Consider the following 16,431-nt stretch of genomic DNA (forward strand, 5'->3'; position numbering starts at 1 on the left):
ATACCAGAGGGAAACTTGAAACTTCAGGAATGAAGGAAGAGCAACAGAAATGGTAAATATTGAGCTAAATAAAATACCCTATTTTTATCCTTTTAAATTCTTTAAATATTTATGGCTGTTGAAGGCAAAAATCATAACATTGGTGAGGTTCTCAATGTATATAGATATAAACATATGACAGGTATAACATAAAGGGGGAGGGTAAAAGTATGTATATGTTTGTCAGGCTCCTACATTTTACTTTGAATTGGTAAAATAGTAACTTGAAGTAGACTGTAAAACACTAGGAATGCATATTGCAATATCTAGAACAGTCACTATACACACACACACACACACAAAGAGATATTGCCAAAAAAGGCAACAGATACATTAAAATGAAATACTAAAAACTTTAAGTAATTCAAAAGAAGGCAGGAACAATGGAACAGAACCAAAACACACAGAGGACAAACAGAAACCACATAATACAATAATAGACATAAATTCAACCATACCAATAATTACATTAAATGTAAATGAGCTAAACATACCACTAAAAAAACAGAGATTGTCAGATTGGATAAAAAAGAAGACTCAAATATAAGCTGTCTACAAAAAGCTAATTTAAATATGACATAGGTTAAAAAAGGAAACAATATAAAGCAAATATGATGAAATGATAGAACCAAGTGGTAGATACCTGTGAGTTAATTCTGTTACTTGCTATTATATTCTATATGTTTGAAATATTTATAATAATAATAAAAGGTGATTGGATGATTTTTTACATAAATATTCTAGTCCTCTAGGGAGGAAAAAGGAAAGATTGGTTAATAGATACAAGTTACAGTAAGATGGGAGGGATAAGTTCTAGTGTTCTACGGCATTTTAGGGTGAATATGGTTAACAATAATTAAATGTACATGTTCAAAAAGCTGGAAGAGAGGTTTTTTTTTTTTTGAGATAGAGTCTTACCCTGTCACCCAGGCTGGAGTGAAGTGGAGTGATCTCAGCTTACTGCAACCTCTGCCTCCTGAGTTTAAGCAATTCTTGTGCCTCAGCCTCTTGTGCCTCTGCAGCTCTGTAGCGATTCTTTTTTTTTTTATTTTTTGAGACAGAGTCTTGCTCTGTTGCCCAGGCTGGAGTGCAGTGGCATGATCTTGGCTCACTGCAATCTCCACCTCCTGGGTTCAAGAGATTCCCGTGTCTCAGCCTCCTGAGTAGCTGAGACTGCAGGCTTGCACCACCATGCCTGGCTAATTTTTTGTATTTCAATAGAGACAGGTTTCACCATGTTGGCCAGGATGGTCTTGATCTCCTGACCTTGTGAGCTCCTGACCTCGTGATCTCCCACCTCGGCCTCCCAAAGTGCTGGGATTATAGGCATGAGCCACTGTGCTCAGCCTAAAAGAGAGGATTTTGATTGTCTGCAACACAAAAAAATGATAAATGTTTGAGGTGATGGATATGCTAATTACCCTGATTGGATCATTATACATTGTACACATGTATCAAAATATCACTCTGTGTCCCATAAATATGTACAATTATTGCATATCAACTAAAAATAAAAAGAATCAATGCCCTTTAGATGGGTATATGAGATCTTTAGATGCCTGGCTCCAGACTGATGTCTCATCTTTTTCCTTCTAGTCCCTGGTGTGGGGCCAGAGCTTAGGATCTGGAATCAGACTTCTTAAACCCAAATTCTACTTCTTACCTGGTAATCACGTCCAAAGGACTTTAACTTTCTTAAACCTCAGAAGACTTCAACAGTAAAATAATTATAACATTGCCTAACTCTAAGGGTTTATTTTGAGGAATAAATGTAATATTGTACCTAAGTAATGGCAAAATGCTTGGCACATAGGACTTGTTTAACGAACATGAGCTGTTATTAGCTAGACTGATTCACCTGGCTGGAGTCACTGATTCCACTGTAGGTCATCCTAGTTCCCTGCCTTTTACTACCAACGAAACACAGATTGCAACACATTAATGGCTGGTGAAATCAATAGTTTATTGTGACCAGCATTAAAAAAAAAAATTGTAGGCTGGGCACGGTGGCTCACGCTTGTAATCCCAGCACTTTGGGAGGCCAAAGCAGGCGGATCATGAGGTCAGGAGATCGAGACCATCCTGGCTAACACGGTGAAACCCCGTCTCTACTAAAAATATAAAACATTAGCTGGGCATGGTGGTGGAAGCCTGTAGTCCCAGCTACTCGGGAGGCTGAGGCAGGAGAATGGCGTGAACCCAGGAGGTGGAGCTTGCAGTGAGCTGAGATCGCACCACTGCACTCCAGCCTGGGCGACAGAGGGAGACTCCGTCTCAAAAAAAAAAAAAAAAGAAAAAAAAAAAGTGTAATGAAATGATGTACAACAGAATAGAATGGGTTGGAATTTAATAGAACTGAAAAGAACAGAATAGGATAGCATTTTTAAAAAGTGAATTGTGTATAGTTAGGATAATGATTGTTTCAGTGTGTGGGTATAAAACATATTTATTATTGTGGGTTTTGGCCAAAAGAAGCTTGAGAAACACGGGTTTCCATGATTCCTTTTGCCTGGAGTACTGAAGCTTAGTGCCGCCCTCCAATGGATTTTCAACAGCCTGTTGGAGCCCCACTTCCTTGAAAAGTTTTCACATGATTTTCTTTAGCCAGAGTGCAAAACCTGTGGAAGCCATGGGTACGTTTTAAACAAGGGAGTGATGAGATGTGATTTACATTCTAAGAACAGGCGCTCCTGTGAAGAGGAAGCCTCAGGAGGGAGTGAGAGCAGAAGGGAGCCCACCTGTGGTTGTCTCAGCAACAGCAGAAGAACCTGGGCCGCTGGGAGTGGAGTTGGAGAGAAACAGGTTGATTTGGAAGTTCTTCTGCAGGTAGAACGGAAAGGCGAATTCTGCAAGATGCTCTGGGGTCCACTGAGCTCAGCTGCTGAGGCTCAGCTCTTTCTGTGGCTTCTTCTTGAGCAGCCTGTTGACCAAGATGTGGCCCATGCCACTCCCTATATTCGGAGTCCATTTTCTGATGCCCTCTCTCAGCTCTTCGCCTGCACTCATCTGTGACTGCCTGGTACTGCTAGGAAGCCTCTGTTTGTGTCTCATCTCTCCAGGTGGACTGGAGCTCCTGGGGGTCCTTTCCTTTGTGGGGGTTCTCAATATCAGAATGGAGTCGCTTATGTCAAACCCTAACAAAATGGAGGTGGAGGTCACGAATTGGAGCCTATATGCGTGCCTGTAACAGGACTTGTCACAAGGAATCCCTGCACATATGTGTATGATGGGGACTATGCCAGGAACTCCTCACATATGGAGGATTCGAGGTAAGCCATTTGCTCAAGGACACTTACCCAGCAATGGCAGCCTCCACTAATGAGACATCGCGAACTCCTGTAATCAATGGTCTTTGTTTCTAAACAGCTTATGTGGAATTCTCCGTTTTTTTGTCTGTAAAAGTTTTCTTTAGCCCCAGTCTCTTTGGATATGCCTATGATTCATCATAGCACATGTTTCCCAGGTTGCAATCCCCTGCAATTCCCAAATAAGCTCCTTTTGTGGAGATCCTGTCTCTCTCTGTCATTATTTAGGTTGACACCTTTTATGTCCTGCATTGCTGTTGATGACACCCACATTTGTACCTCCTGCTTGAATGTCCCCTCCCCCAACTCCAAAATTCCTCTCTCTGTCTACCCTGTACCTCTATTTGAACCACTAAGAGGCATCTCAGACTTAAAGTGTCCCAAACTGAGCCCCTGTGATGCCCCCAGAGCTGCTCCTCCCCACCACCTCCTCCTCAGCAATGGCAGCTTGATTCTTCTTTGGGCTTTATTCAGTCCCCCAACTTTGGAGCTTTCTTGACCCCTCTCTATTGCTCACATGCCATATTCAATGTGTAGGCAAATCCTTTGGCCCTGCCTTCCAAAGACATGCAGAATCTACTCACTTCTCGCCACCTCGCTGTCTCACTCTGCGTCAGGCCACCCTGTGTGTCCTTGCACAATTGCGGGAGCCTTGGCTCGAGTCCTCCAGACCTTCTACCTCTTTGACTTCATCTAGTGCTGCTCCAAGCCCCGTGCTCTTCCTTGGACACACCAGGCATGCTGCCAGCAGAGCCTTTGCATGTGCTGTTCCCTTTGTCGGGAAGCCTTTTCCCCAGCTATCTGCTCAGCTCATCCGCTGTCTCTTTCGTCCTCGCTCAGATTCCCCTTCTCTGTGAAGCCTTTCTGACCATCCTCATTAAAATCAAATAACCCCACCCCTCCACTCTCTTGCCCATTTTCCTCATCCATTTCCCCCTAGGACTAATCACTCTCTAACATTCTCTATATATTTTTCTGATATATTTGTTTATATGTCTTGCATAAACAAAATGATTTGGTTTATGGTCTATCTCTTCTTGCTAGAATGTGAGCTCTACAAGGGTAGGGATGCTTATTTTGTCACCGTTGTGTCCCTGACTCCTAAAATGCTGACGGTGTGGCCAGCTGCATGCCCTGCTGTCTCTATTTTGAAACTCTAACAAAATTTTGGACAAGACCCTCCTCTTTCATTTTATGCTGGACCTGGAAAATTACAGAGCAGGTTCTGACTTCCAGGCACATGGTACGCATTCAATAAATAATCTCTTGAATGAATGTTGAATGTAGTGGTTTTCAAAGCAGATGGGAGATAAGAGGTTACTGAGTGGTTGACTGAATGGAGGGAGGGCTGATCATTCATTCATTCACGCATTCATTCATTCACTAACATTCAACAAATATTTACCTGACATCCTTAGGGATTAAATTTCTGTCCACTGATAGTGAACCTCATGCATCATGTTGCACAGTCCATAGATGTGAGGGATTTTACGAACACAACACCCTGTGATGTAGGTATGATTGTCTCCACTTCCAGATGAGGATACTGAGAAGTTAAGGCATTGCCTGAGGTCATGTGGCTAGTGGAAGCCACAGGCAGGATTATCCCATGGCTGGCCAGGCTGAGCTGTAGGGGCAGCTCCTGTACTCTCAGCCTCCTCCTTCAGAATCCCTCCTCCTCACTCCCCATTCGTGGGCTGCTTCTCCCAGGATCAGGCAGCCTCTGCCCACCTTTTCTCACTTCACCCTTTCTCCTTGCAGAATTAGAAAGAATCGGCTCCAGCTATTTGTTTCTTACTGTGGATTTATCCATGTGTCACCTCTCCCAGGCAGAATTACATTCTGAAGGCATCTCTAATTGAGATTGCTCCATGGGGAAGGACTCTTAGGGCTCAGAAAGCAGGTGGTAAAGCCCTGGAGTGAGGCAGGAACCCCAAAGCCCTATGACACCCCATATAGGTACCCCCAAACCTGCCTATACTTCAGGCCAGGCCCCCAGTATAGAGATGGAAAAATAGTCCCACTTTTGGTCACAGATTCTGGAAAACTGTGAGATTCTGGGGAAATCCATTTTGAGTAATACCTTTTAGAAGAAGAAAAAAATGGAAGTAGCTTATCATAGAATGGGTTTTGTTAGACAAAGATGGCAATTCAGGAGGAAACATAAATTTAACAACTCTCAAGTATGCACAGCTGACATCTCGTAGAGCGGGGCTGGTGACTAAGCCAGAAGTTACTGTCTGCATCCTTTGTAACTTACAAATAAAAATGAGGACCAGACATTAGTTATGAAATGCATGAACAACCACTGCTCTGGGAGCCACATAAAAAGATGGTGATTCCAAACATTTAACCTTAGCATTTGTCTGTGTGGTTTCATTTGAAAATGATGGGGTGCTTGAAACTCTCAGAACTTAGAAAACTCTTAAGTTTTTTTTTTTTTCTTAAGACAGGGTCTTACTCTGTTGCCCAGGCTGGAGTGCAGTGGTGCAATCATAGCTCACTGCAGCCTTGAACTCCTGGCCTCAAGGGATCCTCTTGAATACCTGGGATTACAGGTGCATGCCATCGTGGCCAATTTTTAAATTTTTTTGTAGAGACAAGGGCCTTACTATGTTGCCCAAGCTGGTCTTGAACTCCTGGCCTCAAGAGATACTCCCACCCTAGCCTCCCAAAGTGCTGGGATTACAGGTGGGAGCCACCATGCCTGGTCAAAACTCTATGCATTGAAATAACAAATATAAGAAATAGATAAAAATATAATACATAATGAATATAATAAATATAATAAATATACAAATATATAAATATTGTATTCTATATGTAAACTCATGTATTTTATATATGAATATATTATATGCGTAACATAATATATTGTGTGTGTATTATGTGCATAACATAATATATTGTGTGTGTATTATGTGCGTAACATAATATATTGTGTGTATTATGTGCGTAACATAATATATTGTGTGTGTATTATGTGCGTAGCATAATTATTGTGTGTGTATTATGTGCGTAGCATAATATATTGTGTGTATTATGTGCGTAACATAATATATTGTGTGTGTATTATGTGCGTAACATATTGTGTGTGTATTATGTGCGTAACATAATATATTGTGTGTATTATGTGCGTAACATAATATATTGTGTGTGTATTATGTGCGTAACATAATATATTGTGTGTGTATTATGTGCGTAACATAATATGTTGTGTGTATTATGTGCGTAACATAATATATTGTGTGTATGTGTGTAACATAATATATTGTGTGTATATTATGTGTGTAACAATATGTTGTCTGTATATTATGTGTGTAACATAATATATTGTGTGTCTATTATGTGTGTAACATAATATATTGTGTGTCTATTATGTGTGTAACATAATATATTGTGTGTCTATTATGTGTGTAACATAATATATTGTGTGTCTATTATGTGTGTAACATAATATATTGTGTGTCTATTATGTGTGTAACATATATTGTGTGTCTATTATGTGTGTAACATAATATATTGTATATACATTTGAAAATATTGTATATATAAAGTATATAACATAAAAATCAGAAATAAACATAAGGAATGTAAGTATTGAAATTACATTGTGAGCTTGCTTTTTGTACTCAGACCTTCCCCACAGTGTTAGGATGGTTTCATTGGCAAATAAAAGAAACTGAACCCAACCCAGCTTAGGACTTCAGGAAAATTGATTGAATGATTGCTTGATTGCTTCTATGATTGAAAACGCTGCCTCACCTCCAGGCCTCCCTGGCTTGATGCCCAGAGGGGCAAAAGGAGCTTCTCTTTTCTCCCAGCAGTCACATGTCAAATCCTAGATGAGCTCAGGCTGGCCTTACTTGGACACACGCCCCTCCCTTGGGCCTTTGACTTAGCAGGAAGGATGGGGGGCTAATTAGCCAGAACTTGAGGGGGCCAGACACTGTGACTGAACCCCCAGAATCAATACCATCAGCTTTGGGGAGAAGCAGCTCCCAGGAAAAAGAAACAGTAATTGCCTATAATCTTGCTTTTCTTTCCATGCTGACAAGAGACATTTTCCCTGAGACTGACAGAAAGCGCTGTGTTATAAAGAACTAGTCCTTTCTCTTAGCTGTTTTCATAATTCCAGGTGTTTTCTGTTCCAGTCAAAAGACTCGAGAAAAGAAAAATTTCCCAAGAGAGAGGATCAACTTCTTCTTTATTTTGGGAACAGTAGCTAAAATGTGGTCTCTGGACCCAGGCTAACCTAGATTTCAACACTGCATCTCCTGTGGAGTGTAGGAACTTGGGAATTTAGGTCCAGTTGGCCTTCACTTTCCCTGTTTGCAAAACAGAGATAAAATTATACCCCTCTTAGTTTTATGGTAAGGATTAGATAAAATAACACGTATTACCAAATAGCACAGTTCTTGGTAGATTTTCTTTTATTTACTTTCTCCTTCAAATACCCACTGGGTAATTTTTTACCCCTCGAGAAGCCTTGGAAAAGCAGTGATACTGGATGCATTCCCTTATCTTATCACTTGTCACATTCATTATGCTGAAATCATTCATTTAAGTGTGACTCTCTCTTTTATTTTCCATCAGGCGGCAGGTTCCTTGAGATCCAGGGCCATGTGTTATCCGTTTTGATGTCCCCAGTGTCAGACTTAATGCCTGGGAACACAATAGGAATTCAACCAATGTGGAGCTGCTGAACTATTGAACCACCAGATAGAGCTTTTGAGGGTGACCGATCGTTATTGCCTTTAGAAAAGCAAGATTGGTGGGTTACACCCACACAGAGCCAAGTTAGACTATTTTCTGGAATTTGTTTAACCCAGGGTATGTATTTACCTGGACCACAAAGAGAATGTTGATGTGACCAAGTCATCTTATAGGGGAATGGCAAGGAAGGGAAGAGGCAACAGGGAGTTACATGGCTGGGTTGGAATCTTAACTCTCCCGCCTACTTGCTTGTGGAATCTGAAGCAAGTTTTTTCATCTATTTCTACCTCAGTTTTCTGATTTTTAAAATGGTACAATAATACCAACTACATGGGACTATTGGGATAATTAAATGAGACAATGTATTTAAAAAGCCACTGCAGGCCGGGCGTGGTGGCTCATGCCTGTAATCCCAGCACTTTGGGAAGCCGAGCAGTTGGATCACTTGAACTCAGGAGTTCGAGACCAGCCTGGGCAACATGATGAAACCCCATCTCTACAAAAATACAAAAAAATTAGCCGGGCATGGTTGGCATTTGCCTGTAGTCCCAGCTACTCGGGAGACTGAGGTGGGAGAATCGCTTGAACCTGGGAAGCAGAGGTTGCAGTGAGCCAAGATTGCATCACTGAACTCCAGCCTGAGACCCTGTTTCAAAAAAAAAAAAAAAAAAAAAAAAAAAAAAAAAAAAAAAGCCACTGCCTTGAGGCATCAACATACAATATGGAAGAGTCCCTGAGCTGGGGCCACAGGGTTTGCTTGGTAGGCACTGTGTTTGTAGGAGTACAGTCTTAACTGCTGTAACAAAGGGGCTCCAAAGTACAGTGACTTACCAAGAGAGAAGTTGATCTGTTTCCATGTCACAGTCTGGAGGTCAGCAGGTCAGGGCTGCTGGGGTAGCTCCACATCCTTAATACGTGCTTTCCATTTCTGTGTCTAAGGAGATACCCTGGTTCTTCTCCTCTCCTTCCAGCAGTGGAAAGGGGGAAAGGGACTGGGCACAAGGGGTCGATGATACTACCAATTTTTTGAGGGCAAGATCAGGATGTGACCCTCATCACTTCTGCTGGCTTTACCTCGTCACATGACCATGGCTACTGCAAGGGAGACTGGGAAATGTAGTCTTTGGCCAGGCAGCCATGTTGCCAGCTAAAATTTATACTACAGAAGTATAGAAAAACAAAAATTGGGAGACAACCAGCCACCTGCCATAGCCACTTAGGACCTCACGAAAAAAGGCAAGAGTGATAGTTACCTCTCAAAAGGGCTCTTTGCTGGGTTCCCTTGGCAGCAAGTGCATAGTACAAAGTCTAACTCCCCATGAACCAGAAGGGAATTCAGGAAATGATTCAGGCTCCCTGGCTGACTCAAACACTCAGGATCCTGGAGAGAAAAGTAGCCATACACCCATTTGGGGCTTGGGGTTTAGTTTATAATAATAATAATGACTTTGGCACAGAAAACTTCCTGAGGGTTAATGAATGACTGGCTTGGATTAATAGCCCAAATCACTGCTGAAATCTATCAACTCCTTCCAGCTTCATATTAATCTACAGGAAATTCTTTGTATACCGAGCTATTACAGCTTCAATCTCACAAAATAAAAATGAATGGATGTTTCATTAGAACTTGGAAAAAAACTTGATCACCATTGTGGGTGGCCACCATGCTGTTATTATTTTTTTTCCAGGCACATTTCCTGCATTTCCTCCGGTTCTCTTTCTGGCTTCAATTTGCTGCAGTGGCAACAGCAGCAGCTGGCCCTCTAGACTAACATCTCCTTGCTATTTATAATACACTTTGCAATGCTCATTATTTCTTAACTTTGTCTTCCCAGATAGACTGGGAGCTCCATGAGGTCCGAGACAACCTGAAGACGCCCAGCTCAGCAGAGACTGGCTACGGCAATCACTCAGTAACTATTTGTTGAATTGGACATAATAGAAGAGCTGAAGAATTTTAAACAAGTCACCATCAGTGCAGTGGATTCCTCAAAGCAAACCTGGAAATCTCGGCATGAGTTGGATTTAAGGCAGTACATTTTCAGCTCCTGAAAATTTGAACAGTTTCTCAAGAGAACAACTTGAAACAGAAAGGCAAGGATGTAGATGTGGTTGTAGAAGATGATGTCTGCGGCCACCAAACTGTCCACTGTGAAGACAAACCATGCATGTTTAGTAGGCAGTGGCTCCTCTTCCCTGTGGGGAGTCCCACTGCTTCCCTGGCCTGGGTGTTCTCTGCCGGTAGATGTTATTGACAAAATAAGCAAAGTCCTCTGATTCTGAGAATTAGAGTTAATGATAGCTCTAGATTGCCTCTGCCATGCTATTTAAAGTCCTGCTTTATTGTCTGACATGAGTTCGGCATCTATGAGGACTTGTCCAGTGCAAAGTACAATCTCCACTGAAAGATATCACCAGCACATCTTGTCACTGTGCTGTAGCAAGCTGGGCAGTACAATGATGTTGGCAGGATCCTGTTTAGGTGGAGGATGGCCACCTGGGCATCAAGAATCTTCTACCCTGATTCCACATTGACTCCCCAAAGTGGGCTTCAGACAGCTCTTTACTTACGTCTTCTGATTAAAGCAGCAGACAGGGTCCCAGCTAGAGAAAAGTTCTGGGAGCAGGAGAGGTGTTGGTGGCTTTAAAACCAGGGGTGAAGATTGAATTAGGAGGTTAGGCAGGAGTAGGATCAAAGACTTAGAAAATGCTTGTTTCCTCCTATTATTCTTATGAGAGCTGATACGGGGCTTTCAGTTTTGGGGGAGAGCCTTGGAAGAGAATGAGGGAATTTAATCAACTAGCGGGACCTTTCCAACTTACATTTCCCAGTGTTTGTTGGATGATACGTTTGCCTAATAAGTTAAAGCTTCCAAAAATAGAAAGGAAAGCTTGGTGACACTAAGCTCTGGCATGCTGTCATCTTCTGGCTAGGGGTCTTGTGCTTCTGTTTTTCTATTTCTGACCAAAGACATAAAATGTGTTGTGACCTCTCAGGTAATGCTGTGGTATCATGTCCAAGCAGTAACTAACCAGAGTGGAGTTTTTACAGGTAAAAAAGTATTGAATAGCTCAGCAACAGGGAGGACTTAATGATAAATTGCTTTTTCAGAAAATGACAAGGGGACAGACACTTGCGGTTCTTCCATTGAGAGCCTTAAGGAAGTTAAGCGAAGCCTCTGCTCACCCCTTCAAGTAACGATGACCCATCAGATCGTGGTCATAACCAGTAGCATCTGAGGCACCCCTAAGCTCTCTGGGCCCCAGATTCCTTGTTAAGTTAAATGAGGTGACTTCCCAGTTTACCATTCTAGGGGTTCCTGAGGAGTTAAAAATGAAGGAGAAAATGCAACATGTACCAAGTGAGCAAGAGCTCAAGGCTTATCTCTGGCACGAAAGTGACCGCTGTCCGTTAGAGATGTGATTGCCCTAGATTTCCTTTAGGAAATGCAAACATTGAACTCTGGCCTTCAGGACCCAAGTCCCGGCTTGCATCTATTCTATACACTTTCTGTTATTTGTTAGGGCTCACAAGGAACAGTTATTTATCTTTTATTTTCTATTTTTTTTTTAGAGATGGAGTCTCACTCTGTCTCCCAGGCTGGAGTGCAGTGGTGCCATCTCAGCTCACTGCAACCTCCACCTCCCGGGTTCAAGCAATTCTCCTGTCTCAGCCTCCTGAGTAGCTGGGACTACAGGCGTGTGCCATCATGCCCGGCTAATTTTTAGTATTTTTAGTAGAGGCAGGGTTTCACCATATTGGCCAGGCTGGTCTTGAACTCCTGATCTCAAGTGATCTACCCTCCTTGGCCTCCCAAACTGCTGGAATTACAGATGTGAGCGACCACACCTGGCCCATTTGTTTTCTTTCAAACCCTTCTGTAAGACCAGTGCTTTAGGTGAACACGTGGACAGAACAAGATCATCACTATTTTGCAATATGAAGACCAACTGCGCTGTGACCAGAAAAACAGAGGCAAAATGTTGAGCTTAATGATACCTTTTTATAATTTGTATTTGGTGTTTCTCAATTTTCCATTGGATAGTTTGAGAGATAAGTACAAGTCAATGACATGTTCTCTTTCGTACCCTATTGTCTAATCCTGCTAACACACACACACACACACACACACACACTGATTACCTAATTTATCTGTTCCCCGATTATTACACTCTCAATTGCTGCAGAGTCTCAGAAGCAGCATGGTGTAACAGAAAGAATATGAGGCTTAGAATCCAAAAGCCAGAGTGTGAATTCCAGCTCCACTGACTTGCTGCGTGACTTGAAGCAAGTCATTACGTGTCTCTGTTTACTCATTTTATGACTTTCCTATTGCCTCTGTAATATAGCACCACAAACGTGTGGACTTAAAACAACATGCATTTATTCTCTTAGCGTTCTGGAGGTCAGGAGTCTGACATCAATTTCGTTGGGCTAAAATCAAGATGTTGGTAGGACCAAGATCCCCGTGGAGGCTCTGGGAGAACCCATTTCCTTGCCTTTGCCAGCTTCTAATGCTGCATTCCTTGCATTCCTTGATTGTTGACCTCTTCCCCCATCTTCAAAGCCAGCAGAACAGCACCTTGTTTCATTGCCTTCTTTACTGTCAAATCTCCCTCTGCCTTCTTCTTATAAGAACACTTGTGGTTGCATTTAGAAGCTGTGATAATCCAGAATAATATCTTTATCTCAAGATCTTTGACTTGGTCTCTTCTGCAAAGTCTCTTTTGCCACAGAGGGAAATATTCACAGGTCCCAGGGGTCAGGCTGTGTACGTCTTTGGGGGACTTTATTCTGCCTACCACACTCATCTTTTTTTTTTTTTTTTTTGGATGGAGTCTTGCTCTGTCACCCAGGCTGGAGTGCAGTGGCATGATCTCGGCTCACTGCAACTTCTGCCTCCCCAGTTCAAGCAATTCTCCTGCCTCAACCTCCCAAGTAGCTGGAATTACAGGCGCCTGCCACCACGCCCGGCTACTTTTTGTACTTTTAGTAGAGATGGGGTTTCACTATGTTGGCCTGGCTGGTCTTGAACTCCTGACCTCAGGTGATTCCCCCACCTTGGCCTCCCAAAGTGCTGAGATTACAGACGTGAGCCACCATGCCCGGCCCCACACTCATCTATTAAGTAGAGCTAGGAATTCCTATCCTAAGGGACACAAAAATGAAAAAAGATAAAATTTGTGAAGAGGCACATAATGAAAGCCCATACATGTCACTGAGTTCAGAGGAGGGTGGGTCTGACCTCCCATTGGCTGGTCTCTGCCTGATGGACATCGTGAAGAAGAGAGCCAGGACTAGTGTGGCTGGGGGATGTTCAGGGGCCAGAGTGGCTTCAGGTGCCAGCAGCCCTGGCCGAAGGATGACTCCAGGAGCAAGGCTCAGAGCCGAGTGGAAGAAGCTTCATAAACGCAACTGAGCCAAGCATGATGGGATGTGCCTGTGGTTCCAGCTACTCAGGAGGCAGGTGGGAGGATGGCTTGAGTCAGAAGTTCGAGGCTGCAGTGAGCTATGATCACACTACTGTACTCCAGCCTGGGTGACAGAATGACACCCTGTCTCTAAAAAGAAAAGGCACCTGGATGCTCATGACCGAGATGGGGTGGGGTGGGTGGGGTGGGACAGCCGCACTTTATAACTTTGCTTTCAGCATGATGTGGATTAGTGTCTCCCATGTGGGAAAATTATGTTTACCACTTAGAGACCTGATAGTGCTTGCTTACCCCATAACGCTGGACGGTGGCAGGCTTAACTCCCCCATCAAGGGCCTTAATGTATTTGGGGCCCTAGTCCTAGCAACAGCAGCAAATCTCCTTTTTCTTTTCCTCGAGCTGGTTGTTCACCAGGCAGTTGGGATGTTAATGGGAAGAGAAGACACACACAAGTCCCTTGTTTTCAATAAGGCAGTCTGGTCACGTCCTTAGCAGGTTATTAATCTTTTTCAAACCCCTCCTCTCCACCAAGTTTTATGATCCTGGGAAGGAGATTCCTACCTAGCATCCTTAGAGTTATCGGGGGTTAGGATCGGTGCATGCAGTCACTTCCGTGGAATCATCAGTAGCCCTCCAGCCTCTGGGGAGAGCTGCCAGTGGTCAGAGATGTTGGGAATTACGAGGGAGGAGCTAGGGAGAAGGAACTCACAGTCCCTCAGTCTCTGAAGGTGGCTCCTGGCAGGAGAGGGGGCCAGTCCTAGATAAGAGCTCTCCCAGGGAATTCCAAGGGTCCTCCCAAGGTCCAGCCACAAGATGAGGAATTACTGTTGGGCTCTTCCTCAGATGTGCCTGTGAATTCATATCACAGATGCTTGATGCATTTGACAATTGTTTAATTGCTTGAGCCCAACTGATACTCTTTCAGTCACTTTAAGGGAGTGATTTCAAGTATGATCATTGCCTCAAATCTGTATGGCTTTCCTTGCCTTTCAGGTGCTTTAAGAGGGCTTATGTTCTTTGACTCCCCTAGTAACTCAAAAGGGTGGCTAAGATGCAACTCTGGAGGTTTCCAAGCTCTCTGCAAAGCCTGCCTTCAGTAGTCTGTGCACCACAAGAAGCATAACTTTATTATCCTCTAGCTGAATTTACCTCCTGCTTCGAGCCCCTGTTTTCCCATGTCATTTTAGGGGTCCAATGTTTTTCCTGGAGGCATATACACACACACACACACACACACACACACACACACACACACACACACACACACATATATACACACACACATTCCAGGGGCCTCTGAGGTGCCAAGACATGTGTGGGGTCCATCTGGTTCACACTGATGTCCATGATCATTGAGTTCATTTTTTATATCAACTATGTGACACTTCCTATAGTTTCCAGTTCCTGGTTAGAATTTGCAAAGTTGCCGACTATTTCTTTGAATAGAGTAGCTAGATCATGGGTCTACACCAGTCATCAAGCAGCGATTTCCCTGTTGGAAGCTCCAAGCAAATTGTCAGCTCCAGCATTCCACACAGCTGTGGGTGCCACACTCCTTTTCCTTTTAAAAGATGATGATCTGCTAGTGGTGAATGCTCTTGGAGTTTTATTTGTAGGTTTTTCTTGTTGTCGCAAATGTCTATATTTCATCTTCCCTCTTGAGGGATATTTTCCATGGGTAGAGGATCTAGGCTTTTCTTTTGGATTCCATTGTGGCTTTAAAAAAAAGTCAGTTGACTGTTTATTTATGGCTTCTCTAAAGGTGATCTCTTTCTTCCTAAGGCTGCTTTAAAAGTTTCCGTTCCCTCCCTCCCTTCCTCCCACCCCATCCCCCTTCTTCCTTTCCTTCCTCCCTCCCTTCCTCCCTTCTCTTCCTCCCTTTCTCCCTTGTCTTCCTCCTTTTCTCCCATCCTCCCTTCCTCCCTCTTTCCTTCTTTTTTCCCTTCCTCCCGCCCTCCTTCCTTCTTCCATCATTATATATTAAAATATTTTCTTTCTTTCTTTTTTTTTTTTGAGATGGAGTTTCGCTCTTGTTGCCCAGGCTGGAGTGCAACGGTGTGATCTTGGCTTACTGCAACCTCCACCTCCCTGGTTCAAGCGATTCACCTGCCTCAGCCTCCCTAGTAGCTGGGATTACAGGTGCCCGCCACCACACCCAGCTAATTTTTGTAATTGTAGTAGAGATGGGGTTTCACCATGTGGGCCAGGCTGGTCTTGAACTCCTGAACTCAGGTAATCCACCCGCCTTGTCCTCCCAAAGTGCTGGAATTACAGGCATGAGCCACCACTCCCAGCCTATTAAAATATTTTCTTCTGGGCCTTCCCTCCTTTTACTTCTTTTGATACCGCCATCAAATGCATGTTAGGTTGACTCACTGTGTACTCTATTACCCTCTCATCTGGTTTTTAATCTTTCTGTCTCCTTATACTGTAATCTCAGTGTTTCTTCTGCTTTAATTTTGGTATATGAATTATTCAGCTGTGTTCAAAGTGTGGTTAAAGCGACTTATATGCTCTTTAATTTTTAGTTATTGTACTTTTCACCTCTAGAAGTTCTTCTGTGACACTTCTTATAGTTTCCAGTTCCTGGTTAGAATTTGCAAACTTGTTGACTATTTCTTTGAAAAGAGTAGCTAGAATTGTTTTAGTCTGTGTATAGTGAGTTGAATATCTGAAACCTCTGTGAGTCTGTTTCTTTTGTCTGCTAGCCCTACTCATGGCGTCATGTTTTCCTGGATGTTTAGTTGGTTGTCTTTGAATATGTCCAACTCCAGTTATTTCTGGGAATACCCAAAGGCACACCTGTTCACTATCACCCAGTGAACTGCCATGTGTTTGTCTCCTGTCATGGTAACATTTGCATTCAGGGAGAGGCCTCTGCTCTCTGCAGAACAGTGTGAAATCACCTCATTTTTGCCTTCAATGAAGGTTGTCTCTT

General features: G+C 43.1%; 2 long non-coding RNA genes across 3 annotated transcripts in view, besides 2 other annotated features; one reads left to right on the forward strand and one right to left on the reverse strand.

The window, feature by feature from the left end:
• LINC00649 (long intergenic non-protein coding RNA 649) overlaps positions 1-11,845 on the forward strand; it is a 40,065-nt gene extending 28,220 nt beyond the window's left edge. For both annotated transcript variants that reach the window (NR_038883.2, NR_134558.1), the window contains exon 3: positions 9,896-11,845. This is a non-coding gene — a long non-coding RNA (long intergenic non-protein coding RNA 649). The remainder of the gene's footprint in view (positions 1-9,895) is intronic.
• LOC124905013 (uncharacterized) lies at positions 7,760-9,123 on the reverse strand. Its single transcript, XR_007067847.1, has 2 exons — positions 8,892-9,123; positions 7,760-8,009 (listed from the first exon to the last, which is right to left on the reverse strand). It is a non-coding gene; the product is annotated as an uncharacterized LOC124905013 (long non-coding RNA).
• Positions 12,339-13,028: an enhancer, noted in NCBI's record as "NANOG-H3K27ac-H3K4me1 hESC enhancer chr21:35343981-35344670 (GRCh37/hg19 assembly coordinates)". NCBI's record gives its function as "activates a minimal SCP1, AML or CMV promoter by ChIP-STARR-seq in naive H9 embryonic stem cells {active_cell/tissue: H9 hESC(naive)}" and the evidence as "EXISTENCE:reporter gene assay evidence [ECO:0000049][PMID:30033119]".
• Positions 12,427-12,721: a silencer, noted in NCBI's record as "tiled region #8447; K562 Repressive non-DNase unmatched - State 7:EnhWF". NCBI's record gives its function as "represses a minimal TATA promoter and a strong SV40 promoter by Sharpr-MPRA in K562 cells {active_cell/tissue: K562}" and the evidence as "EXISTENCE:reporter gene assay evidence [ECO:0000049][PMID:27701403]".

This window comes from Homo sapiens, chromosome 21 (assembly GCF_000001405.40).
Source record: "Homo sapiens chromosome 21, GRCh38.p14 Primary Assembly".
Classification (NCBI taxonomy): Eukaryota; Metazoa; Chordata; class Mammalia; order Primates; family Hominidae; genus Homo; species Homo sapiens.